We start from the raw sequence: 26764 nt of genomic DNA, 5'->3' as shown, positions 1-26764 counted from the left end.
TACTATATTTCTTTGCCTATTTTTCCATTAAGTTGAGTAGGTTATTAACATGTAAGGTTTCTTTGTATATTAAGGAAAATAGCCCCCCCCTTTTTTTTGTCTGATCATATGTTGCAAACTTTTCCCTCCAGTTCACTGTTTGCTATTTGACTTTATGGTATTTTTTAAAATCATACAGAAGTTTTAAATATTTACAAATTTATCAAAATTATGGCTTCTGGTTTTGTGTTAGTCATTTAAGAAAGGGCTTTTGTTGTTGTTGGGGGGGTTTTTTCGTTTGTTTATTTTGAGACAGTCTCACTCTATTGCCCAGGCTGGAGTGCAGTGGCGCGACCTTGGCTCACTGCAACCTTGGCCTCCCGGGTTCAAGGGATTCTCATACCTCAGCCTCCCAAGTAGCTGGGATTACAGGCGTGCACCACCACACCCAGCTAACTTTTGTATTTTTAGTAGAGGCGGGGTTTCACCATGTTGGCCAGGCTGCTCTCGAACTCCTGACTTCAAATGATCCACCCACCTCAGCCTCCCAAAATGCTGGGATTACAGGCATAAGCCATCGCACCAGCCTCTTTAAGAATAAAAAAATTCACTCATTTTTCCTTCTAGTATTTTCATGATTTCTGAAGTTAACTTCTTATTTTGGAATAATTTTAGATTTACAGAAAATACAGAATAATACAGAGCATGACATATTTTAATGCCTAAAACTTTGCTCCACCTGGAATCTATTAAAAAGACTGAAGTAGAAATCAAATTTTATTTTTATTTTGTGTAATTCATTATTATTTTAAAGTATTTAAAAGGTAATAACATACATATTAAAACACGATTTTAAGTCCATTTTGTTTCAGTATACTTGGTGATATACAAGAGTATATCACCATAAAACCAGGATTTGTAATCATGAGAGGAGTAACCCCAGAAGGTTCCCAAACCAGGTGGAGGCAATGGAATCAAAATTAGAAATAATTACTGTGGGCCAGGCACGGTGCTGTAATCCCAGCACTTTGGGAGGCCGAGGCAGGCGCATCGCCTGAGGTCTGAAGTTCAAGACCAGCCTGGCCAACATGGTGAAACCCTGTCTCTACTAAAAATACAAAAATTAGCCAGGCATGATGGCGGGTGCCTGAAATCCCAGCTACTCAGGAGGCCGAGGCAGGAGAATTGCTTGAACCCAGGATGCAGAGGTTGCATTGAGCCGAGATCATGCCACTGCACTCCAGCCTGTGACAGAGCAAGACTCTGTCTCAAAAAAAAAAAAAAAAAAAAAAAACCCGAATAATTATTGTGATGGTTAATTTTATGTGTCAACCTGGCTAGGCTATGGTGCCCAATTGTTTGCTCAAAACAAGTCTATATGTTGCTGTGAAGGTATTTTGCAGATGTGATGAAAACAATTGGTAGACTTGAAGTAAGCAGATTACCCTCCATAGTGTGGTGGGCCTCATCCAATCATTTGAAGGCCTTCAGAGCAAACACTAAGGTTTCCTGAAGAAAAAAATGCTTCTCCTCAAGACTGCAGCATAGAAACTCCAGCCAGAGTTTCCAGATTGCTGAGCTGCCCTGCAGATTTTGGACTTGCTAGCCCCCACAACTGCAAGAGCCAACTTCTTAAAATAAATCTCTCTATATATGTATATATCCCATTGGTTCTGTTTCTCTGGAGAACTCTAAAATAATTAGCCTTAAATTTCTCAGAACTGTATGTCTTTCTCCATCCTCGATGGAACAGAGAGTAAACTGAACTTGCCAAGTGAATTATACAGTAGAATGTATAGGCAGAAACAAAAAGTCATTCCATACCGTTACAGCACAGCCATAGTGCTTAAAAGGACAGTCTTGCTCAGCTTCAGGACATACAGCCAGGTGTTCATCTACCTACGAAATGGATAGTCACAAGCTATAGAAATTCATCACTTATTCTCCAACTGCAGCAATCAGGGAGCCAAGAGTGGCTTGGGAAGAAGGCAAGGACCAGGAGAAGGAGAGAGGCCTGGCAAGAAAGAGCTATGATGAAAGTTGAAGAGAGTTCGCAGGAAAAAGAGAAGGGAAGACAGATACGTCATGGTCATGCGTGTAATTTAAGCCCTGGGCCCTTATCTTTGGGACTGTATCAAACACAGACCACAATGATTACTAAAACGTTATCTTCCATAAAATCTACAGAGAGGATTATTTGCAGTTACCTCAGTTTTTAGAATAATCTTCGCACAATTGTTGGGACAAAATACTGGGTATTCAGGACACAAGTTTTCCTCATGATTCTGAAATAGAGAAAGTGCAATAAAACAAAGGGTTGTCTTTCATGGCCTCACAGTGATTACACCTGTGTCTCTTTGGGGATTATATGTCACGTGGCTTACTCTCTACAGGAAGTTATTGCCTAATTCCAAAAAAGGATTAAAGATGTCCACTTTCTAGGTGTAAATGAACTTAATTAAAATATTAAATTTTCCAATTATTCCAAAAGAAAGTCATAGAACACAGGATTCAAAGAAGGTAGATTGGGGAACTGCCAGCATAGCTCCTTCGGGACATGTAAAAGGTACCCATGCTTTCTTTTTATGCCTGCATCCTGCCTCCCCAGCTACACTGCAGAATTCAGAGAGTAGACATTATTGTCACCTCCTTGTGACTCAGCACCCAGCATTCATTACACATACACAGCATGTGTTCAAATAATATTTTTGCCAATAATAAATGGAGTGCTACCAACAAGAAGGTTTTAAGCTTTTCACAGAACTTCTCTCCAAAAAGCAAATTCTTTAGACCTAATTCTGTACAAAAATAAATGCAGGAATGTTCTTCTGGCATTCCACCTGATTCACTGTGACCACTCAGGCATAATTTAGCTCCATAAAGATGACTGTTGTATGTGTTGTTTTTCACCTGTAGATTGATGACTACCACATCCTTTTTGCAATAAAGGCATTTTTCCTTTCGAAACTGACAGGATGCACTCAAATGCTCTTTCAGGTCTTTCCGTAGGACTGGCTCCCGGCACTTCTCATTAGAACACTGCACAGGTTGAAATAAGCACTGCTGAAGGTGATCCTGCAACAGATAACAACAGGCCAGTGGGACCTGCTGACCAGGGTGGTAGGAAAGAAGTCAGCTGGAAGGCCTAGGGAGGGAGAGAGAACAGGGTGGGCAGCTGGGCAGAAAGGCTTGCACAGGGCAAGGCAGAGGGTAGGCTCTCAGGGGATGCTGCCCACTGTCTCTGCTGAGGAGAGGGCATGGGGAGGGCTGCTTGTACCAGAGATGGGAAAGCCAGTCTTGGCTGGGGGAAATTCAGAGGACAGGGGAAGATAGGTGAAGAGGGAAGTACACCAAGTTTGTTTTAGATGATCTAATAATGTGCTCATATTCTCAGGTTAGTTCTTGGATATTTTCCTTAATTTACCAGTTCTTCAAGGACATTTTTATTTCTTTTGTGGACTCTTCATCCCAACCTCCAGCATCAGGTATGGGTCTCTGCATAGCAGATGGTAAAAGGACACAGGAAAAGGAAAAAAGGAGAGAAGGGCATATCCTAACTCAAGGAAGAAAGGGAAAGGATTAAGAAGATGAAAAGAAGGGACAGTAAGCTATTCCAGAAATGATAAAGAAAAGGAGGCAGAGGAAATATAGGTGTGCAAGCCCAAGAGAAGCTAGGAATGGTCAGACTGGTAAAGTCAGGAAATATTTTTAACCATTAATAATACTTTATTGGCCACGTGTGGTGGCTCATGCTTGTAATCCCAGAAATTTGGGAGGCTGAGATGGGAGGATCACTTAAGGCCAGGACTCAAGTCCAGCCTGGGCAACACAGTGAGACCCCAATACCTTGTCTCCACAATTTTTTTTTTTTAATTAGCCAAGTGTTGCGGTGTACACCTATGGTCCCAACTACACAGGAGGCTGAGGTGGGAGGATCAGTTGAGTCCAGAAGTTTGAGGCTGCAGTGAGCTATGATTGTGCCACTGCGCTCCAGCCTAGGTAACACAAATAATAAGTTATTTAAATTTTATTTTAAATATTCTCTAATTTTATTTTAAAAGTTATTTTAAATATTCTGTTATTTATTATTAAAAATAAACATTTATTTACATGTCAATAATGTATTTATTATAAACAATATATTATAGTATTTAATATATTATATGTAATATATAACTATATATACTATTTAATATTATTTAATATTAGAGAATGATTACATGGACAGTGTTCATTCCAGGGTTCTTCACATTCTATTTTATTTTTTTTAATTTTATTTTTGAGTCAGGGTCTCTCTCTGTCACCCAAGCTGGAGTGAAGTGGCGCAATCTCCGTTCACTGCAACCTCCACCTCCTGGGTTGAAGAGCTTCTTGTGCCTCAGCCTCCAGATTAGCTGGGATTACAGGTGTGCACCACACCCAGCTAATTTTTGTATTTTTAGTAGAGACAGGGTTTCACCATGTTGGCCAGGCTGGACATTCTAGGTTTTTTTTTGTTTTTTTTTTTTTTTAGACAGAGTCTCGCACCGTCACCCAGGCTGAAGTGCAGTGGCGCAATCTTGGCTCACTGCAACCTCCGCCTCCCAGGTTTCAAGCGATTCTCCTGCCTCAGCCTCCCAAGTAGCTGGGATTACAGACACCAGCTACCATGCCCGGCTAATTTTTGTATTATTAGTAAAGACAGGGTTTTGCCACATTGGCCAGGCTGGTCTCAAACTCCTGATCTCCAGTAATCTGCCCACCTCGGCCTCCCAAAGTGCTGGTATTACAGGCATGAACCACCACGCCTGGCCAACATTCTAGAGGTTTAAAAGCAGGCATATCTCAGTGAAAACCTTTGAATCACTGCAGTTATTGTGATGCTGGCAAGTTAACAAAATGTTAGAGAACTTGTCCCCCTGAGGGTCCTTTAAGACAAAATTGGCAAGCTAAGACTCACAGGCCAAATCTGGCCTGCTACTTGTTTTTATAATTAAAGTTTTATTGGAGAGGAGCCACACCTATTCCTTCACATATTGTCTATAGCTGCTTTGCCTCTAAAATGGGAGAGCTGAGTAATTGTGACAGAGACTGTATGGCCTGCAAAGCCTAAAATAGTTACTATCTGGCTCTTTTATGATTATGATGATGATTATTATTATTATTGTTTGACTCTTAAGAGAGTTTGCTGATCCCTTCTCAGAAGAAAAAGCAAACAGTTTTTTGACAGTGAGATAAACAAATGCAGCTATTCTCCTTCACCTCTGGTAGTAAGAATCATATGGTGATCACAGTTGGAATCCATCTCTTCTCCAAAATTGGTTGATATTACTCCTCAACTCTCACCCAAACAGTCAACATTCATCAAAACTCTGCTACCTGTAAGATTCTACACCTTACCATAGAAGTGGGTGGGTGGGAAACAAGGAATGAGGGGAAATATAAAAGAAACAGGTGGAGAGAACCCAGGCCCTGCTCTCCATAAGCCAGTTTTGGTCACTAAAGCTGTTCAATGGTCCATTTGAGCCTCACTTACTTTTTAGGCTTAGTGACAACAAAGTTGGAAAAAAGGCCTTGCTCTAGGACTCGACTATTCAAAACAAGGGGCAAAAGACACATGAAAACATAACAAAAGTTCTATGAACCTCCAAATAAATTCCTGGATTAACAAGGAAATCATTTACACATTTATAAGCTCAGTCCCTGAGGGATTTGGAGGTGTGATAGAGAAAAGACTGAATCATCTGAAATATGTGTTCCAAAATGTGTGGGTGTGCGGGAGAAATTTCAGCAGCCTCTCAGCAATTCCCTAGAAGTTAGAGAAGCCTGAGTCATGTTCACTTGCAGTGTGATCAAACTTGACATGGGCCTGCCAGGCAGCGCCACACTTCCAGCTTCCCCTTTAACCACCTTCCCTAGCTGGAAGGAAGAGCAGCTGGGGTCACTTCATTTGAAAGGCATCAATTCCCCTTCACTCACATTTCCCCTACACCTTGTTGGTTTGTCTCTCCTATCAATGCTTCACCTTTAACCCACAGCCTGTCTCTGTCCTGGTCTGAGTGATCTCCGTTAGATCATAAACCCCATGAGGCCAGGTCCCACAGTTGCTGGGAAACACCTACGACAGCACCAAGTGAGAGAGCAAATGCTTTTGGGGAAGGACCTCACAATTGTGTCTTTCTGTAGTCATGCCCTGGGTCCCACACAGTTCCCCCAAAATGGCATATTCTTGAGTGTTTGTTTTGTCCAGCATGTCCCACGCCCTCTCTTTTGGCTCAATGATCCCTACCACACAATTAAGGTCTAGTGGATACAAGATGTCCTCCATGCGCTCCATACAGGACGAACCTCTTCACTCACACCTCAGCCGTAGGTGGGCTACAGCACTGTAGCCACCTGTATTGCTAGACTGGGAATCCTTGAGGGCAATTCACTGAATCCCTGTACCATGCTTAGCTCAGTAACTGTCACATAAAGGGGTTCAACACACATTCCTGGAAAAATGGCAAAAGCAGATATCGTTCATGAGTAATACCAACCTGGTACCGGCCCAGAATAACCTTGGCATTACATCCAGGAGCATTGCTGCAATATACATATAAGTTGAGGACTTCTCTTTTGCAACAATTGTCTTTAAAAACCTAAAAGATAAACATAATAGGTCTCACACACTTCAAAGTTTTACAGCAATGTGAATTAAGCTATTACTAATTTGGTCTTCGAGTGTATCTCAGAAGGCAGGTGGAAACTTCCAGACATCAGCTGGAATGGAAATATCACACTTACACCACACTGAAAGAAAAGGCTGTCTCAGATACATGCTTTTGACAAACCATTAAACATACAAGCCAGGTAACAATGCCCTGCGCACCAGGCTGCAACTAGGTGAAACTCATGGTGAACCTGACCCCACATTCTTAAAGGTCAGGAGGTGAAGCTTGGCCAAGGGTGATGCTTTCAGCTTCCTGTCCCAGGGTAAATGTATTACTTATCAGACAGTGTCACTGAGGCTGTGCTGGCTTGCTATTTTAGCGCAAACCAGGAGTCGGCAAACATTCTCTGTAAGGGGTCAGATAGTCCACATCACGATCATCTCTGTTGCCACATTTCAACTTTTCCATACACAATACTTAAATGAATGGGCACAGCTACATTCCAATAAAACACTATTTATGAACACTGAAATTTGAATTTCACATGTCACCAAACTTTCTTCTTTGGATTATTTAAAATGAATTTTTATTTTGAAGTAGTTTAAGACTCACAAGAAGTTGCAAAAATATGAGGGTTTCTATGCACCCACCATTACATAAAAAGAATTTCTTAGCTTACAGGCCATACAAAAACAGGTAGCAGGCTGGATTTGTCCCAAGACTGTAGTATGCCAACCCCTGGATAGTAGGTCAGACAGACACTAAATGCAGCACAGCCGTGTTGTAGGTATTTGCAAAACACCTCATAAGGAGTATAGAGAAGATGCGTGTACAGCAGACTAGAGGCTCAAGGAAAGCTTCTGCTTGAACATCCTGCAACAGAATCTTAAAGGAAGAAAACTGAACTTAAAGAGGAGTTTTAAGGGAGAAAGTCTTCATGACAATGGAACAGACAATCGTTTCTTAGATACAACACCAAAAAAGAACAAGCAACCAAAAAAAGAAAAAAGAAATAGATGAATTAGAGTTCATCAAAATGAAAATTTTTTGTGCTTCAAACACACGATCAAGAAAGGGAAAAGACAACCCACAGAATGGAAGAAAAATATTTGCAAATCTTAGCAGCCAAATGTCTGCTAAGAGATTTATATCCAGAATATATAAAGAACTTTTTTTTTTTTTGAGACAGAGTCTTGCTCTGTCACCCAGGCTGGAGTGCAGTGGCATGATCTCAGCTCACTGCAACCCCCACCTCCCAGGTTCAAGCGATTCTTGTGCCTCGGCCTCCCAAGTAGCTGGGATTACAGACATGCACCACCACACCTAGCTAATTTCTGTATTTTTAGTAGAGACAGGGTTTCGCCATGTTGGTCAAGCTGGTCTCAAACTCCTGGCCTCATGTGATCTGCCTGCCTCAGCCTCCCAAAGTGCTAGGATTACAGGCTATAAATAACTCTTATAATTCAACAATAAAAGGTAAATAACTCAATTTTTTAAAATGAGCAAAGGAACTAAATAGGCATTTTTAACAAAGAAGATGTACAAATAGCCAATAAGCACATGAAAAAATGCTCAACTTCATTAGCCAACAGGAAAATGCAAATCAAAACCATAATGAAATATATTAGCTGGAGCCAGTGTAGGAAGGGGATGAGGAAGAAGCAGGAGAGGAGACTTGGGGTGGAGGAGGGGTGTGGTCAATAAAGACCCAAACAAGCCTCTCAAACAGGGCTACGAGTAGGGTCTGATGTGACCCCACAGCAGAAGAATATGGACTCCAAGGAAGGTCTCCCTCGACCACTCTCCTGCTCCTATCTCAATGTCCAATTCACTGACTTCTTCTCCATCACCCTGAGAGCTGCTAGACAAAAGCAGTGACTTTCTTACCTCCTGAGATTTGATGACCTCTTTATCTACAGGGCAGATTGGCACTGTGTTTAATTCTCTGGAGAAAAAAATTAAAATGGAGCCAGAGTTAGTTGTTTACCTCAACAGCATTTCCAAGACCAGCCCCAGGGCTCCAGCCATGCTCTAGCCCTGGGCAGGCTGGTCCCTGTCTGCACATGCTGTTCCCTCTACCCAGAAGGGGCCTCCTGTACCCCTCCTTCAGCACCTTCCTGTTCTTTCAGTTTGCCTGAAAAACTTCATGCAACCTCTGGGATGCAGTCAGTGAGTCCCTGGACAGAGCTGAATGCCCCCTGTCCTTTGTTTATCACGCTGTGCCACATTTGTCTCCTCTAGACTGGGACATTCTAGAGGGCAGACATGGGGTCCTGTTCCACATTGTAGCTCTTCAGCATGACAGCACAGAACACACAGGTGCTGAAGGCACAAACACATGAGGGAATGAGGATGTGCTGTAATAACCCCCTTTCAAAGCTTGGCAGGGTAAAATGACTGCCTTGCTTCCTATATAACCCCCCAAAGTGTACCTGCTTCCACATCTCTCCTGGTATCCTCCCTCAACACAGTATGACCCAGGTCTTACAGCTGCCCAGGAGTGGACAGCATCCATGGCAGCAAGGTCCCTTCTAGGTGCCACAGCACCTCTGCCTCAAGGCAAGGGAAGATTGGGGTGACTACAACACAGACATTGTGAGATTCAAGCCCTTCTCCACAGCCAGCTCCCATGATGGAGTGTGTGTCTAGGTCTGCTGTCCCATGCAAAGCAGGTACAGTCTGAATTTTAAGAAAAGGTAAATATCTGTAAATTAGTGACCAAAAAATGATTATTCTTCAGGCCCTCACAGAGGGGATCTGGGAGAGTCCTTCCTTACAGTCATGGTTCTGTGGCCAAGTAAAACAACTCCAAAACCCATGAAAACAGTTGAGTGGCCACAGTTGCCACCTGGATGCTAGGACTGCCATGGCCAGAGTTGCAGGCCCTGCCCACTCACCTCAGGGACAGGATGCAGTGCTGGCAGAAGCGGTGCCCACATCCTGTCTGGTGGGGGTTGTGAAGCACCGAGTGGCAGAAGGCACATTTGTAGCGCTCTTCCAACCGCTCCACAAACTGGTACTCTATACTGGGCTCAAAGTCCAAGGAAATGGAGTTGCCGGAATTCTGGCGGATGAAACCACAGGGCATACCTTTATGCTCTTCTGAATAAGCCATTCTGCAGAGGTCAGGGGAGGAGAGGGAAAATTAAGTGTGCAAACACTGAAACAACCACAGCCATCAGATGCTTTGGTTATTTGTCTCATAATTAGTGTACATCATTCACATGGTCATTCTGTTGTGACTCTGAAACAACAGTGACAACCTCCTGCCACTAGGGGGCTCCGGCAAAGGTGCAATGTCTTTGGGGTGCTCAGGTTAGAGGCTGGACCAGATGACTTCTAGCAAGATTCTACGAGATTCAGTTCTTTGTCCATCAGTCTTTTACAGGGTGCTAAATTACCCTGTCAGTTTGGCCATATGCTTGGACAAAATATAGCCAGGTGTGTTAATTACATTATAAGTAAACTGTTAGGAATTTTTCTTCCACTCAATGAGAGAATGGAAACACAGGTTTTGTTAAAATTTTTAGAAGCAGACAAATATATTTCTCACCATCTTGGAAGCACAGAGCAAGCGTTTACCAGACATTGAACATGCTGGTGTCTTGAACTTGGACTTCCCAGCCTCCAGAACTATGAGAAATAAATTTCTGTTCTTTATAAACTACCCAGTCTGAGGTATTTTGTTACGTCAGCACAAACAGACTAATACTTTTTTTCTTTTTTTCAGAGACAAGGTCTCACTCTGTAGCCCAGGCTGGAGGCCAGTGGTGTGATCATGGCTCACTGTAATCTCCAATTCCTGGGCTCAACTGATCCCTCCCCAGTAGCTGGGACTACAGGCACTACAGGCACACACCACCACACCAGGCCAATTAAAAAAAAAAAAAAACTTTTTTTTTTTTTTTTTTTTAGAGACAGTGACATGGTTTGGCTGTGTCCCCACCCAAGTCTCCTCTTGAATTCCCACATATTGTGGGAGGGACCCAGTGGGAGGTAATATAATCATGGTCTTTCCTGTGCTGTTCTCATGTGAATAAGTCTCATGAGATCTGATGGCTTTATAAGGTGGAGTTTCCCTGCACAAGCTCTCTCTCATTTTGCCTACTGCCATCCATGTAAGACGTGACTTGCTCCTCCTTGCCTTCTGCCATGATTGTGAGGCGTCTGCAGCCACATGGAACTGTAAGTCCATTAAACCTCTCTTTTTTATAAATTGCCCAGTCTTGGGTATGTCTTTATCAGCAGCATGAAAACGGACTACCACAGACAGGGTCTCACTATGCTGCCCAGCCTGGTCTTGAACTCCTGGACACAAGTGATCTTTGTGGCTCAGCCTCCCAAAGTACTGGGTAAGCCACCACACCTGGCCTAAGATAACACTGTTAAAACCTGTGGAGCCAAGGACCCAACACAGCAACACAATATTGAAGGAGAAGAACAAAGCTGGAGGACTAACACTACTCAACTTCAAAACTTATTATAAAGCTACAGTAATCAAGACAGTGTAGTACTATCAAAAGAACAGACAAATAGATCCAGGGAACAGAATAGACAACCCAGAAATAGACCCACATAAATACAGTCAACTGACCTTTGACAAAGGAGAAAGGGCAAAACAATTATGCAAAGATAAGTCTTTTCAACAAATGGTGCTGGGACAACTGGACATCACATCAGAAAACGAAGCTAGACACAGACCTGACACCCTTCACAAAAATGAACTCAGAATGGATCACAGACATAAACATAAAATGCAAAGCTATAAAACTCCTACTAGATAACATAGGATAAAATCTAGATGATCTTGAGTTTGGCAATGACTCCTTGCACACAAATATATTACTCACAGTATCTATCACTGCCATTGCGGTAGATCGAATGTTTGTATTCCTCCCAAAATTTATATGTGGAAATTCTAACCCCCCATGTGACAGTATTAGGAGGTGGGCATTTGGCAGGTAATGAAGTCATGAGAGTGGAGCCCTCATGAATGGGATTAGTGCCCTTATAAGAAGAGGCCAGAGAAGGCTGGACGCAGTGGCTCATGCCTATAATCCCAGCACTTTAGGAGGCTGAGGCAGGCGGATCATGAGGTCAGGAGATAGAGACCATCCTGGCTAACGCGGTGAAACCCCGTCTCTACTAAAAATACAAAAAATTAGCCAGGCGTGGTGGCAGGTGCCTGTAGTCCCAGCTACTTGGGAGGCTGAGGCAGGAGAATGGCGTGAACCCAGGAGGCAGAGATTGCAGTGAGCTGAGATGGCGCCACTGCACTCCAGTGTCAGAGCAAGACTCCGTCTCAAAAAAAAAAAAAAAAAAAGAAGAGGCCAGAGACAGAGAGAGCAGGGAATGGTGGTGCACACCTGTAGTCCCAGCTACTCAGGAGGCTGAGGTGGGAAGATGGCTTGAACCTAGGAGTTCGAGTCTAGCCCAGGCAACATGGCGAGACCTCCTCTCTAAAGAGGCCAGAGAGGTCCCTGGCCCTCTTGCTGCCATGTGATGATACAGCAGTTAAGTCTGCAGCCCGGAAGAGGGACCTCATCAGAACCCAACCACACTGGCACGCTGATATTGGGCTTTCAGCTTCCAGAACTGTCAGAAACCTCTGTTGTTTATAAGCTACCTAGTCTATGGTGCTTTCTTATAGCAGCCCAAGCTAAGACAAGTACCAAGCCACATCATTTCTCACCTGAACTAAATATGAGTTCATTAATTGCTTTCTTCTCCAATCTACTCTCCATACTATAGCCAGGATGAGACTTTCAAAATGTCAAGTACAATGTTAGGTTATCTCCCTTCATCTTTTAGTGGCTTCCCAGGTTCTGAGAGAAAGTCCACAATGCTAAGCAGGCTCAAGACTGTATCCTCCCCAGTACAGCACCATCCTGGACCTCTCTTTCCTGGCTTTCCGTACTCCAGCCACACAGGGTTTTTGTTTTTGTTTTTGTTTTTGTTTTTGTTCTTCTAATACACCACACTCTATGCCACAGGGCCTTCGCACAAGCTACCTGGGAGGCTGAGGCAGGGGGGGATCACTTGAGCCTGGGAGGTGGAGGCCACAGCGAGTCATGATTATGCCACTGCACTCCAGCCCGGGTGACAGGGCGAGAGACCCTGTCTCAAAAAAAAAAAAGAAAGAAAAAAAAAAAAGCCTGGGGTTTGAGACCAAAGCTCCACCTTTTCCCTAGTGTTTCCTGCAAAACTTCAAGGGTGGTAGGTAAGCAGTATAAGATACAAATGTTCCCTCCTGTAACATGGTTGACTCTTGGGATTTAACAAAAGTTTTAATTCTGAAGATGAAGAGGCAAAACATTTTATTTACATGCACAGCCCTAATAACCAAGCCCCACCTTTCTCTCAGAGAACTGGAAGAACCACTTTCAAACTGCCCTGCTCTGCCTTGTGTTCCCTCATTCCTGCGGAGGTTGGCACTTCGCATCCTGTGCCCTGATGTCATATTCTATGTCCTTCTGAGATTCTCTTCTGAGGCCAGGCCCAAGTCTGTCACACAGTATCTAAATTTGGACTCTCAGAGATGTATCCTAAAGCAACAGGCTCATTCAGTCCCCAGAATAAGGCAGTAGGATGTACAAAACTCAGTTCAGGTTCCCTCCACTACACTCTGCACTCTCCCTAACACAAGAATCTATGGCACTCATCTGTGTGTATGTCCATCTTTTGCTACAACAGTAGTTCTCCAACTTTTCGGTCTCTGGACCCCCTATGATTTGAATGTATGTGTCCCCCCCAAAATTCGTATATTGAAACCTAAGGTCCAGTGTGATAGTATTAAGAGGTGGGACCTTTAGGAGGTGATTAAGTCATGAGGGCTTTGTATCCACGGATGGGACCAGTGACCTTAAAATGGGCTCAAAGGAACTAGCTAGGTTATTTTGCCCTTCCAACTTTCCCCATGTAAGGACAGTGTTCATCTCTGGAGGATGCAGCAATAAGCTGCCATCTTGGGAGCAGAAAGTGAGCCCTCACCAGACACGGAATCTGCTGGTGTCTTGATTGTGGACTTCTCAGCCTTCAGAACTGTGAGAAATACATTTTTGTTCTTTATAAATTACCCAGTCTGAGGTATTTTGTGATGGCAACACAAACAGACTAAGATAACACTCTTGTTTTTTCTTTCTTTTCAGAGACAGGGTCTCACTCTGTAGCCCAGGCTGGAGTGCAGTGGTGTAACCATGGCTCACTGTAACCTCCAACTCCTGGGCTCAAGTGATCCTTCCACCTAAACCTCCCCAGTAGTTAGGACTACAGGTGCGTGCCACCACGCCTGGCTAATTTTTTTTTTTTTTTTTTTTTTTTAGAGACAGAGTCTCACTATGTTGCCCAGCCTGGTCTTGAACTCCTGGCCACAAGCAATCCTTTCAGCTCAGCCTCCCAAAGCAATGGGATTACTATAGGTATGAGCCACAGCACCTGGTCTAAGATAACACTCTTAAAACTTGAGGAGCCAAAGATCCATAGGATGGACACTACCCAACTTCAAAACTTATTATACTTGATTATAAAGAATATAGAGAATAAAGAGCCCAGAAATAGATCCACATAAATATAGTCAACTGACCCTTGGCAAAAGGCCAAAGGCAAAACAATGATGCAAAGATAATCTTTTCAACAAATGGTGCTGGGACAACTGGACATCTACAACAGAAAATGAAGCTAGACACAGACCTGACACCCTTCACAAAAATTAACTCAGAATGGATCACAGACATGAATGTAAAATGCAAAACTATAAAACTCCTACTAGATAACACAGGATAAAATCTAGAGGATCTTGAGTTTGACAATGACTTTTTAGGTACAACACCAAGGGCACAATCCGTGAAAGAAAGAATGGATAAACAGACTTCCATTCAATTTTGCTGTGAACCTAAAACTGCTCTAAAAGAAAATCTTGTCTTTTTTTAATGGAGGACCCCTAAGAGTTTTTGTTTACGCAAATTATATCTATTCATATTTACCATACTTGAGAGTCAAATTGAGGAATTTTAAAAGTATTTACTTCAAGATAATAAGCCAATTATATGTTAATACAAATATTTTTATGAAAAATAACCATTTTCCAAAACAAAAGAATTAGTGAGAAGAGTGCCACCATTTTACATGTTTGCACATCTCTTTAATGTGTTGCTTAATAGAAGATAGCTGGATTCTCATGTCTGCTCCTACATTCAGTCTGTTGCATATCATATATCATTTAGCTTCAGGGAAACATCTCTGTGCATTTGTAAAAGGAGAGTACAAATGGCAAACGATGTCAGTACTATTATGAAAATAGTTTTGACCATGCAGATCCCCTGAAAGTGTGTCAGGGAGCCCCAAGCAGTGCTGTGCTAGTAAACATTTAATAATCTGCTCAACTGGGGGAAAGCTCCAGCTTGTAGCATTTGCCGATTTCTGTGGTTAAACACTTCCACTATGGCTAATTTCAAGGTAACAATGAAAAAGGTCACTGAACTGGAACTGGGAAAGAGATGCACACAATTGGCTCTTACCTGAACTCACCTGAAGTAAGAGTCCATTAAGTGACTTCCTAGTAAGAGCTGCTCCAGCACCCCAGGGGCCCTTGAAGCACACTTTGGAAACCACTGCTCTATTAGATGGCTGTGTGGGCCCATGTCTTGTCAGCTTTGTCCTGGCAGACACAGCACATGTGACTCTCACAGTCTCCTTGCTCCTGCTGAACAGCCAGCAGAGGACTGAATGCCCCATCCTTCCTCTCCCCATCCATGTGTGTATTTCCCAGACCTATTCAACAGGCCTAAGTCATTCACTGACCTTGTTCACTCTCTAATCGGTTATTGTCTTGTCCACTATTTGTTTTTATGAAATTGGGTTTTTAATCTCATAACACATTGTAGAAAAATAAGCATTTATGTTCGGCCATGAGATGTGGACTTGAGGTGTCTTTCTGGGTGAGGTTCTAGTATATAAACAGAGCTGTGATGCCTCCCAGGGCAGGATCCGTCTCCTTCTGAAGCTTCCTCAAGCCTGGACCCACTTTGTTCACTGACATGAGAGAGCCCAACAGCAGAACTAGAAAGGCTATGCTTCTTTACCTAACAAATATATTTATCTAATTAATTAGATACTTTCAGCTGGTATTCTGTCATTCCCAGGCAGCTATTTAGTGGAAATGAGTAAGCACTCCATTTTATTAAAATCTTTCCCCTCTGTGTATAACAGCTTACGTAACAGGAACAACAAAGCAGCTCAGTTCTTGCAAGTCAGGAAAAAAAAAACATATCAAAACTGCTAAAAATAGAGCTTATATATCACCTTTCTGCAGTCAATGGCATTCGTATTCTTGCCATCAATGGGATGTACAGTGTGGTACTCCTACTGAAGAGTTGTTAACTCAAGCCAAAAGAGACAAAAGAAAGTCACATCCCATCTATTCCCTAAGAACTCTTGTTGAGTTTCTTTGAAATGCCATCTTCTTGTTTCATAAATTGATGCATCTTTTCCATGAGAATTTTTTAGGAATTCCAAAGGAAAGCTGTGGATGCCACCATTTACATTCTTTACTTACGTATCTCTACGGATTCATTTCTGGAGAACATATGACAAATATTCTCACATTCTGAAGCAACGTGAGCTTAGCCTTCAGTTATAACAAAAAAGATATGTATTTTGCAGAGTTTAAGGTTTAACAAAGAAAGGTAGATCCTGCTCTGTCTATCCATACCACCTCCATACCCCTGCCAACATCCAGTTTGGATTAATGAAGATTTGAAAAACTGGGGAATTTTTAAATATATTATGTTATAGTGCATAAGACATAAGTCCACAAAATTTGTCTTCAGGGTTTTCAAGTTCTGATTCTTGGGGAATTACTGATTACTACAGATAAAATCCCAGAGTGAAAAGGGCACAGGACCAGAGACCTCTGTCTCTGCTCTGCCACTCACCATCCATGAAACCGTGAGCAGGACACCCCACAGCCCACTCATCTGCACATCCCTGCACTGATCCTGGGTTAGGTCCTGAGAATGCAGAGGCTGTGACGTTGCATCTGCCCTTGAGTCCCTCCAAGGACAGAAGAAATAAGGCACAAAAATGATCAATTACAATATCCCACTGGCAAGTACCACAAACAGAGATTTCGACAAAGAACTGGTACAGCCTAGGTGAGGGGTAGCTAACAATTTCTGAGGTGTCTGTGCTGATTTCACAGAGAAGAAATCATCTCAGCTGGTCTTGAAGAAAGAGGAGGCATTTTCTAGATGAAGGAGGTTAAAGAATTTCCTGCTATCACAAAAGTTCTAGAATGGTTAGCAATTAACTGTAGCTGAAGTGGAATTAAGGGAACATGCCAGTCATTTGCCTGTTTGCCCAGATCCACCCCCTACTCTTGCTCTGCTTAGCTCTGCAGCATGAGGTAGGGTGAAATTTGATGCCGCAAACTGTTTTCCAGGCTCCCTGGCTTCTGGTTAGGTTCAGCCAATGAGAGGCACTGGGATGGGAAGAGTGGGAAGAGGGGCAAGCCAGGGGATCTCTCCCCGATCCCTGGGTGCTGGGCAGCATCTCAACAGTGACTGGTGCTCCTCCATGGCTCTAATGACACCAGATGGCCCCTCTCTCTGTGGACAGGCTGCCAGAAGGCAAACTGTCCATTTCTCAGCTCTGCTCAGGTCTTGCTGGCAGTGTTGGTCAACTGCCTAATACCCACTTGAGCAGCATGGGAAGGATACAAATATGTTATTCCCCAAACCCACCCAAGGCCCACCAATGGGTCCTGGGCTTAAAGAGGAGAGACTGTGGCTGGTGATAAAGAAAAGTTAAAATGTTCAATCCCAAGATGCAGTGACCCAACGGGTCTCTGGAATCCATGCCCTCGGTGGGTTCCAGATGCTCTCCTGCTAGGATCGGCAGTTCTCTCTCAAGGTCATGGCTGGCGTTGAATCCTGTGATTCTGCTCTTCCAGGAAGAACAGTTACTACCAGGAAGCAAAAAAAAAGGAGGGGGGGGGAGCGCAGGGCTGGCACAGTGGCTCAAGCCTGTAATCCCAACACTTTGAGAGGCCGAGGCAGGAAGATTGCTTGAGCTCAGGAGTATGAGACCAGCCTGGGCAACATGGCAAAACCCCATCTCTACAAAAAATACAAAAATTAGTTGGCCAGGTGCAGTGGCTCATGCTTGTAATCCCAGCACTCTGGGAGGCCGAGGTGGGTAGATCACCTGAGGTCGGGAGTTCAAGACCAGCCTGACCAACATGGAGAAATCCTGTCTCTACTAAGAATACAAATTAGCTGGGCATGGTGGCGCATGCCTGTAATCCCAGCTACTTGGGAGGCTAAGGCAGGAGAATCGTTTGAACCCAGGAGGCTGCGGTGAGCCGAGATTGTACCATTGCACTCCAGACTGGGCAACAAGAGCAAAATTATGTCTCTAAATAAATAAATAAATAAAATTAGCAGGGTGTGGTGGTGCACGCCTGTAGTCCCAGCGACTTGGGGGGCTGTGGCAGGAGGATCGCTTGGGCCTGGGAGGTCGAGGCTGCAGTGAGCCGTGTTCATTGTTCACGCCACTGCACTCCACCCTGGGCGACAGAGAAAGACCTTAACTTAAAAAAGGAAAGGAAAACGAAGGAGGAGAAAGCACTTTATCTGTTAGGCTATCCTCCTGGCACAAAGGAGAACTGAAATGGTCTCACAGTTTTTCCAAAGCTTCTGTCTGTGATGGCCTAAAGAGGCCTTCCCTCAAAAACTGAAGAAGAAACCCCTTTAACCAGGCAGGTCAAAGACGAAGGCCTTGGAGAAAGGGAGAACCAATAAGGCCATTTTCCATTACACCTAATGTGGCTGGGAGCTCATGCAGAGACCAGGTGACACCACGACAACCAGACAACATGTGACCACAGTCCACCGACGCACTGTTCTTGCCCCAGGATGACTGGCTTTGATGTCTTAGAGGCAGAGATAAGGGTATGTTTTCTTTGCTTTTCCTTATGTCTTCACAGAAGGAAGTTGTCTTGGGAACAGGACAAACAATGATGTGAGTATAATTTTAATTACTTTAAAGAGAACTGTGACTTCTCTCCAAGTTGTCAGGAAACCTCTGGTTCCCCATTCTCCTGGCGGTACAGCAAGCACTGACAGTGAGTAGATGGGAGTGCAAAGGCTGAAGGGCATCCCTCTTCCCCCAACCCTCCAGGCTGCACACCCATGCTGGCCTGACGAAAGCTGCTGCTGCCTCAAGTCAGTCCCACTTACAGAGATGCCTTTAGTGGAACTCTTCTCCTCAGAACCATGTAGAGTCTACCTGACTCCAGGTGGTACTTTTAAGGTATCCAGGAGACCTTTAGATTTGCTCTCAGAAACCAGACCAAGAGGAAAAAATAACAAAGAAAGCTCTACTGATCTTCCCACACAGCAGCTTTCTCCACTAGGAAGCCTTGTTCTCCACTAGGAAGCCCCCATCCTTGGCTCCAGCTCTGTAACAGTCCCCACTGCTACCTAGGGACAGTTCCTCGAGCTCCCATTAGTCCCCAGGCCAGAGTACCCAATAACTCAGATGACTCAATAATCAGTGTGGAAACTCCGAGTCACTGTGAGGCCACAGTGAGAAAGGGCCGTGAAGACAATCTAGGAGAGTTCCGATTGAGGCAGAGGGCAAGAGAAGGGTATTAAAAGAAGTGAATGGAGCCTAAGGCTGGAGTCAGATATGGGTTAGGATTACAAGTACTGAGGCTATGTCCAAGCACAGAGACAGCTAATTATATGCATTAGCTCATTTTAACCCCTCAGCCAGGTGTGGTGGCTCAAACCTGTAATCCCAGCCATTCCGGAGGCTGAGGTGGGAGGATTGCTTGAGCCCAGGAGGTCAAGGCTACAGTGAGCTATGATGGCACAACTGCACTCCAGCGTAGGAGACAGGGTGATATATGATATGATATATATATTATCATTATTCCCCTTTTTTTAAAATGAGGAAATGGAGGCCTAGTGAGCTCCTACTGCCAGGTAGTGGTGGAGGCCCTCAGGGGATGAAGAGCTGGGGTTCCTCCCTGCCCCTCCAAGGTTCCAAGAGTCAGCATGGCATGACAATTACCAGCATGAACTCTGGAGTAGACTTGCCTGGATTCATATCCTGCCCATACCCCTTCATAGCCACGTGACCTCAGGCAAATTACTTAGTCGCTATGTTTCTCCGTTTCCTCATCTGTAAAACGATGATAATGAAATGCTGGACAGGACATGGAGTAAAGGGAACCCTCATACACTGTTGGTAGGAATGTAAATTAGTACAGCCACTATGAAGAACGGTATGGAGGTTCCTCAGAAAACTAAACACAGAACTACATATGATCCAGCAATCCCACTGCTAGGTATATATTCAAAAGAAAGGAAATCAGAATATTGAAGACACATCTGCCCTCTCATGTTTACTGCAACACTGAAGAACCAAGATCTGGAAGCAACCTAAGCATCTATCAACAGATGAATGGATACAGAACATGTGGTACCTATACACAATATTCAGTCATAGAAAAGAACAAGATCCTATCACTTGCAACAACATAGATGGAACTAGAGGACATTATGTTAAGTGAAATAAGCCAGGCACAGAAAGACAAGCTTCACATGTTCTTGTTTGTGGGAGCTAAAAATTAAAACAATTGAACTTATGGAGACAGAGAGTAGAAGGATGGTTACTAGAGGCTGGGAAGGGTAGTTGTGGGGTGGGGGAAGTGTTGGGTAGAGGAAGTGGGGATGATTAATGAGTACAAAAATATAGTCAGAATAATCGTATAGAATACAATCTAGTATTTGATAACAGGGTGACTATAGTCAACAATAATTTATTGTACATTTAAAAATAACTAAAAGAATTGGGATGATTGTAACACAAAGAAATGATACATGCTTGAGATAATGGATACCCCATTTACCCTGATGTGATTATTATGCATTGTATGCCCATATCAAAATATCTCATGTAGCCAATATACACCTAATACACACCCATAAAAATAAAAAAGTAGGACTTATCACAATTCAAAAAAAAGAAAAATATATCAAAAAACAAAATAAAATGGTGATAATAACAGTAGTTACCACATAGAACTTCTTAAGATTAAATACGTCAATACTATATACATCAGGGGTTGGCCCATCACATGTTTTGTAAATAAAGTTTTATTAGAACACAGCCATGTTCATTCATTTACATATTGTCTATGGTTGTTTATGTGCTACCACAGAGGAGCTGAGCAGTTGCCCCACAGACCATATGGCCCACAAGGCCTCAAATACACAGTTACTACCTGGTTCTTTACAGAAGAAGTTTGCTGACCCCTCTATGCATGAAGAACTTATAGTGGTAGTACACAGAGGTGTCATAAGGGCTATTATTAATAAGCACTTGCCCCTGAGTCTCTCCATCAATGTCCCCCACTCTGAGATAACCTGACTGCCTGACATGCTATTTGCCTTCTCATTTCACCCAATTTTGAATTCATGGTTACACTGGACTATCTCGCGCTAAACATTTATTGATTCAGTCACTTTTTGTAAATCATTTCTTTGCTGGGAACCTACCATAGGCAGACACTGATGAGGAAACAAAAATGCAGCACATGGGCCCAAATTCCCCACCCCCTGGAGCTCTGGCCCATTCTCCATCCTCAGCCCGGCAATGCCCCATCAACCTCTTTCTCCCCTCTCTCCTTCCCATTCCCAGCTCCAGAGCAATGCCCGATGGAAACACACCTTCCAGGTGGCACCCACAGACCTGTGTCCTTTATCAGATCCCATCAGTGCCTCTCTGAAGCCTCCCTGGCCCTCCCAAGCTTATCTGTACTCTACCTGGAATAAGTCGGCAGGCCCAAATCATCTGGGCATGTGGTATATGAGGCCATATACAGCCTGGGAAAGCATATTATGTTAGTTTGATGATCTAAACTGTAATCACATCATCACATTTGCTGACTAGTCTCTCCTAAATCACTGCCCTCCTGCCCTTTATGTGACATTTGGCACTTCCTTCTTGAAACTCCCTGATCCCTTGGCCCTAGGGTTCTGTGTTTGTTGGTTCTCCTCCCAGCTCTGAACCACACCTCTTGGTGGCTCCTTGTCAGCATTCCACTCCTGCAGGGTTCCCCAAAGCTAGGTCAGCCTTCTGCCCTTTGTTCTTGACTCAGCTCAAGAACTTCTCCTCATTGGAAAGGCTTCTCCTCATTGGAAAGGCTACCTACTGCCACCTCAACTACATTCCCAAATGGGGGTGGGTGTGCCCACTGCATGGAGCTATGGGGCTGTCATCTCAGACTCACACTTCTCTCCCCCTTCCCCCTTCCTGACCATCCTCCTTGCTTACAAAGAAGGTACAAAGAGGCCAGGCGCGGTGGCTCACTGTTGGGGTGATCAGACCCAGCACCAGGTCGTGGGGGTGACAAAGTCCAGCAGAGTCAAAGGACTGAGAAAAAGACAGTTTGAGAGATAAAGGTGGGACACCAGAGGGCCATCGCGATTGTGGAGGCTGCGAAGACCGCCAGCTCTGGGAGCCCACGCTACTTATTGGTAATCCAACAGAGAAACAGGTGGTAAGAATGTGGAGGTCAAAAGGACACGTTGCATTAAGCACATGATTTACAGCTGTGATGGTTTAGCATTTATATGGAACATGTTCTGCTACTTGAGATAATGGGAATAGGAGCCTAGGAGGGCTAGAAGCAAGGAGCCAGAAAGTCTAGACATATTCCCGAAGACATTATGCAAGCCCTGCCTCAGTTTCCCTCCCAACACTCAGCTTTTTCCCAACAGCTCACACCTATAATTCCTGCACTTTGGGAGGCCGAGGTGGGTGGATCACCTGAGGTCAGGAGTTCAAGAGCAGCCTGGCCAACATGGCGAAACCCCATCTCTACTAAAAATACAAAAAGCTGGGCGTGGTGGTGCACACCTGTAATCCCAGCTACTCGGGAGGCTGAGGCAGGAGAATCACTTGAACCCAAGAGGCGGAAGTTGCAGTGAGCCGGGATTGTGCCACTGCACTCCAGCCTGGGTGACAGAGCAAGACTCCATCTCAAAAAACAAAAACAAAAACAAGTACAAAGAGCACAAACACTCGTAAAGTGAATGAGGCTCCAGGGGCCCCTCGAGCTTGGATGCACAGCCAACAGACAACTGTTTAGATTTAGCTTGGAATTCAGGAATATTTTCAAATGAGGACTGAGCCCAGGCTTTGCCCAGCCCCACCCTCCATGGCCTCAGGGTACTCTGAAGAAAGGGGAGAAACCTGAGACCACCCTAGACGGGCTACAGAACAGAAATGCCAATGAGTATTTAGAAACCGTGGCATGACCTTTTGGTGACTTTTAGCTACCAAAGGTCAACATCATTCTAGCGGTGCCCCACCTTCCCACAAATGCTCATCCACAGCTGACTTTGTGTAAGTTTATATTTCCAAAGCTGACCTCAGATGTGTGACATACTGCCAGCTGCCTACTACCCAGAGCTGGGAGGACTGTGGCTGGGGTACATGTTGTGAGAGGCACACAGGGCAATTCCCTCCCGCCTGACAGCAAGGCCAGCTCTGGCCCAGTCCACAGAGGAAGCAGACGAGAGACGCTTCCTGGCGGAGGGCTACCCCAGACACACCCCAGGCACACCCCAGGTGCCCTGCCCACATACAGGCAGGCATCCTAGAGTCTGGTTTAAAAAATGCAGCCCTCAGGCTGTTGGGACTCAAGGGCCTGATCAGGGCAACAGAAGAGGGAGAGCAGGTAGGGAGCCCAGAGAGGAGGTCCAAGAGAAGTAGGTAGAACTGGGGGAGTGGATTCCCCCACCCCACAACTGAGCCTGTCAGCTCTGGAAGGACTTAAGGGATCAGCTACCCAAGGGTTTCACTGTTTCACAGTGAAACTTACCAAACCGAGTTTCATGCAGAAACATCAGTAAGTAAGAGTATACAGAATACCTGTTCTGGTTGAAGCAGGGCCTGTTGGATTTGCTGCAATCCGCAGGCCTCTGGCAGCTCTTCTGGTTAGTCCTAGGAGATCCACAGTTTGGTTTCTCAAGATAATGATGATACCAATAAAACTAAAACCTGACATGTACTAGTAATTTCCAGCCTGCACTTTTACATATAATACCATACACAGTTCCACACTAACCCTGTGGCAATACTGCTATCATCATCATATTCCCAATGAACAGTCCGAGGCCTCAAGTTGTTAAACAACTTTCCCCAAATCACACAGCTAGTGCGTGGGCACAGGGATTTGAATATAGACTTTCTGACTCCGAAGCCAGTGCTCTACACTCTGTCACAGCTGGGAGAAAATGTACCCCATTGCAGCCAACACCAAACAGGAGGGCTTGATGGCAGGCAGTACCGCTTACTGGTTAGAGACCAGCTCTGGGGCCAGACTGCTGGGGTTCAAACCCTTCTGCCATTCACTTACCTGTGTCACCCCTTCCTCATCTAGAATATGGGACAATATGGGAGGCCAAGGCAGGCGGATTGTCTGAGCTCAGGAGTTCGAGACCAACCTGGGCAACATGGTGAAACCCTGTCTCTACTAAAAATATAAAAATTACCTGGGCATGGTGGCACACATCTGTAATCCCAGCTACCTGGGAGGCTGAGGCAGGAGAATCGCTTGAACCCAGGAGGTGGGGGCTGCAGTGAGCCAAGACTGCACCACTGCACTCCAGCCTGGACAACAGAGTGAGACTCTTGTCTCAAAAAAAAAGACAATAATAGTACCTGCTACAAAGGCTTGGAGTTAAGATTAAATGAATTAATCCACGTAAATTATTATCACACAATTCCTGGCACATAAATAAGCACTTAATCACCATGCATTTCCACCCTGCCCTCCTAGCCAGCTTTATTCAGTGCCGGTCACATGCAAAGTCTGCGCCCTATTGTATTATGGGAGTGGAGGAGAGTGGGTTACCAGACAGCTCCTGTCCCCAGGAAGTTTTCAGTCAAGGTAGGGATATGCGTATGCATATGCACAAAACTATAGCAGCAGCTCTCTGAGCAGTCAGGGCCCCAGATGCTCTGCTAAGAATCTGTTCTAGAACATGATGAAAATGCTAGCTTGGACACCTTACCCCAGAGGAAGGGGGACCCATTTGTTATAATAGTTTAGCCTTCCCTGATTAATACACTTCAGTATCATGATCTCTCAGTAGCAACTAGAATCTGATTTTCTAGCAAATTCCCAGGCTAGATTCTACAGCTCATGACAGTGTGAGGAGCACCAGTCAGATCATCGTGGCAGCTTCCAGGTCACCTTCTCTTATCTCTTGGAGCTTCGGGCTGGTGCTGGACCTGCTCTCTTCTATCTGCACTCATTCTCTGGGTGAGCACGTCCCAGCTCCTGGCCTTACCAGCTATGACTGACAATGCCCTGATTTCTATCTGCAATCTGGACCTCTCCCCTGAGCCCCAGACACACTCCACTGTTTAGTCTATGCCTCCACATTTAATAGGCATCACAAACTTAACACATCAAATCCCCACCCAACCTGCTCCTCCCATAGCCTTCCTCCATCTCAGTGAAATGGTACCACCAATCACAGCGTCACTTGGACCAAAAACTTTGGAGTGATCCTTGGCTCCTCTCTTACTCTCCATCTCACAACACCAAAGCCCATGGGATCTTCCTTCCCAACATATCCCCCCTCTCCTCCTCGCCACTGTCAGCATAATCACTCTGGCCTAAGCTGCCATCATCTCCCCAGTGGTTATTGCATCAGTCTCCTAGCTGGTCTCTTGCTCTGCCTTGCTCCTTTACAGCCCATTCACAACCCAGCAGCCAGAGTGATGCTTTTAAAAACAGAAGCTGTCTCTGCTGCTCCTCTGCTCCAATGGCCCCATTGCACTCGGGGTAGAAGCCAGTGTCCTTAGAGGTCAGGGCCCTTCGTTTCTCTGCCTCTCCATTCTCTGTGTCCTTACTTCCTAGTGCCTTCCCCCTTGTCTACTCACTCTGGCAACACTGCCTTGCGTCTTCTTGAACAGCAGAAGAGGCTTCTGCTTGCTTTTCCCCTGCCTGGAATACTCTTCACCCTGATATCTGAAGGGCTTGTTCCTTCACCTTAGGAACCTGCTCAAATGTTATCTCACAAGGGAGGCCTTTGCTGACCACCCTACATGGAAAATGCAACATCCCTGGCAGACCCACCTTCTACTGCATTTTTCTCCAATGCACTTATTACTGCCTAACATATTACTTGTTCATGTCTTTGCTCTCTGTCTTCCCCTATCAGAATAGAATATAAGCTCCAGCACAGCAAGGATTGTTTCTTTGGGTACTGAAGTCCCAACACATAAAACAGTGCACGTGGCCAGGTGCAGCGGCTCACGCCTTTAATCCCGGCACTTTGGAAGGCCGAGGCGAGCGGATCAGTTGAGGTCTGGCCAGGTGCAGCGGCTCACGCCTTTAATCCCGGCACTTTGGAAGGCCGAGGTGAGCGGATCAGTTGAGGTCTGGAGTTTGACACCAGCCTGGCCGACATGGTGAAACCCGTCTCTACCAAAAAGACAAAAATTAGCTGGGCATGGTGGCATACGCCTGTAATCTCAGCTACTCAGGAGGCTGAGGCATAAGAATCACTTGAACCAGGGAGGTGGAGGTTACAGTGAGCCAAGATCACACCACTGCACTCCAGCCTGGATGACAGAGCAAGACTCCGTCTCAAAACAGAACAAAAACAAACAGACAAACAAAACAGTGCACATGACAGGTGCTTAGTAAATACTTACAGAATGACTGTAACAGCTATTCTCCAGCAAGCAGAGCAGCCTCTCTCCTGCTAAGCACGCTTCTCACTGCCTAAACCTTTTCATTTCACCTGTTTGTAAGTCCTGAAATTCTACCAGTCCCAGCTGGAGAGTGCAAGGCTGGCTCATGATGGCTGACCTGGGGTAGGAGTTGGGGAGTCACTGTAAGGGGTGAGGGGACAGTGTAGCCAACTAGGACCGGAAGAGTAAAGCCTGAGCAGCGCTCCCTCTGACACACTAATGTGAGCTAGCCTCTGGGTGAGGTGCCAAGTGGGAAGCTTTAGCCCAAGGGTAGCAGGCACCTGAGAAAGGGGAAATGCTGAGAAAAATGTATATAGGTAGCCAGCCAATAATTCAATGCAATCAACATTTATGGGGCCCTCATTTAGGTG

At 44.8% G+C, this 26764-nt stretch overlaps 1 protein-coding gene across 9 annotated transcripts in view, besides 1 other annotated feature; it reads right to left on the bottom strand.

Moving 5' to 3' along the window:
* TRAF5 (TNF receptor associated factor 5) overlaps positions 1-26764 on the bottom strand; it is a 48312-nt gene that overhangs the window by 11981 nt on the left and 9567 nt on the right. For 2 of the 9 annotated variants that reach the window (NM_004619.4, NM_001033910.3), the window contains exons 2-7: positions 9509-9727; positions 8499-8556; positions 6498-6599; positions 2890-3054; positions 2187-2264; positions 1804-1878 (exon numbers count right to left, since the gene is read on the bottom strand). In NM_004619.4, the coding sequence (NP_004610.1) occupies positions 1804-1878; positions 2187-2264; positions 2890-3054; positions 6498-6599; positions 8499-8556; positions 9509-9726 (696 nt within the window). In that variant the 5' untranslated portion in view covers position 9727. Of the gene's footprint in view, positions 1-1803; positions 1879-2186; positions 2265-2889; positions 3088-6497; positions 6600-8498; positions 8557-9508; positions 9728-16543; positions 16603-26764 lie in introns of those variants that run through there. The other 7 variants (XM_011509960.4, NM_001319207.2, NM_145759.3 and 4 more) reach the window with 6 other exon arrangements.
* Positions 9457-9586: a silencer, noted in NCBI's record as "silent region_1785". NCBI's record gives its function as "represses an Ori minimal core promoter by ATAC-STARR-seq in GM12878 lymphoblastoid cells {active_cell/tissue: GM12878}" and the evidence as "EXISTENCE:reporter gene assay evidence [ECO:0000049][PMID:35858748]".

This window comes from Homo sapiens, chromosome 1, assembly GCF_000001405.40.
Source record: "Homo sapiens chromosome 1, GRCh38.p14 Primary Assembly".
Taxonomy (NCBI): Eukaryota; Metazoa; Chordata; class Mammalia; order Primates; family Hominidae; genus Homo; species Homo sapiens.
Note: the sequence above shows the minus strand (reverse complement) of the source record. Positions and strands in the feature narration are given on the sequence as shown.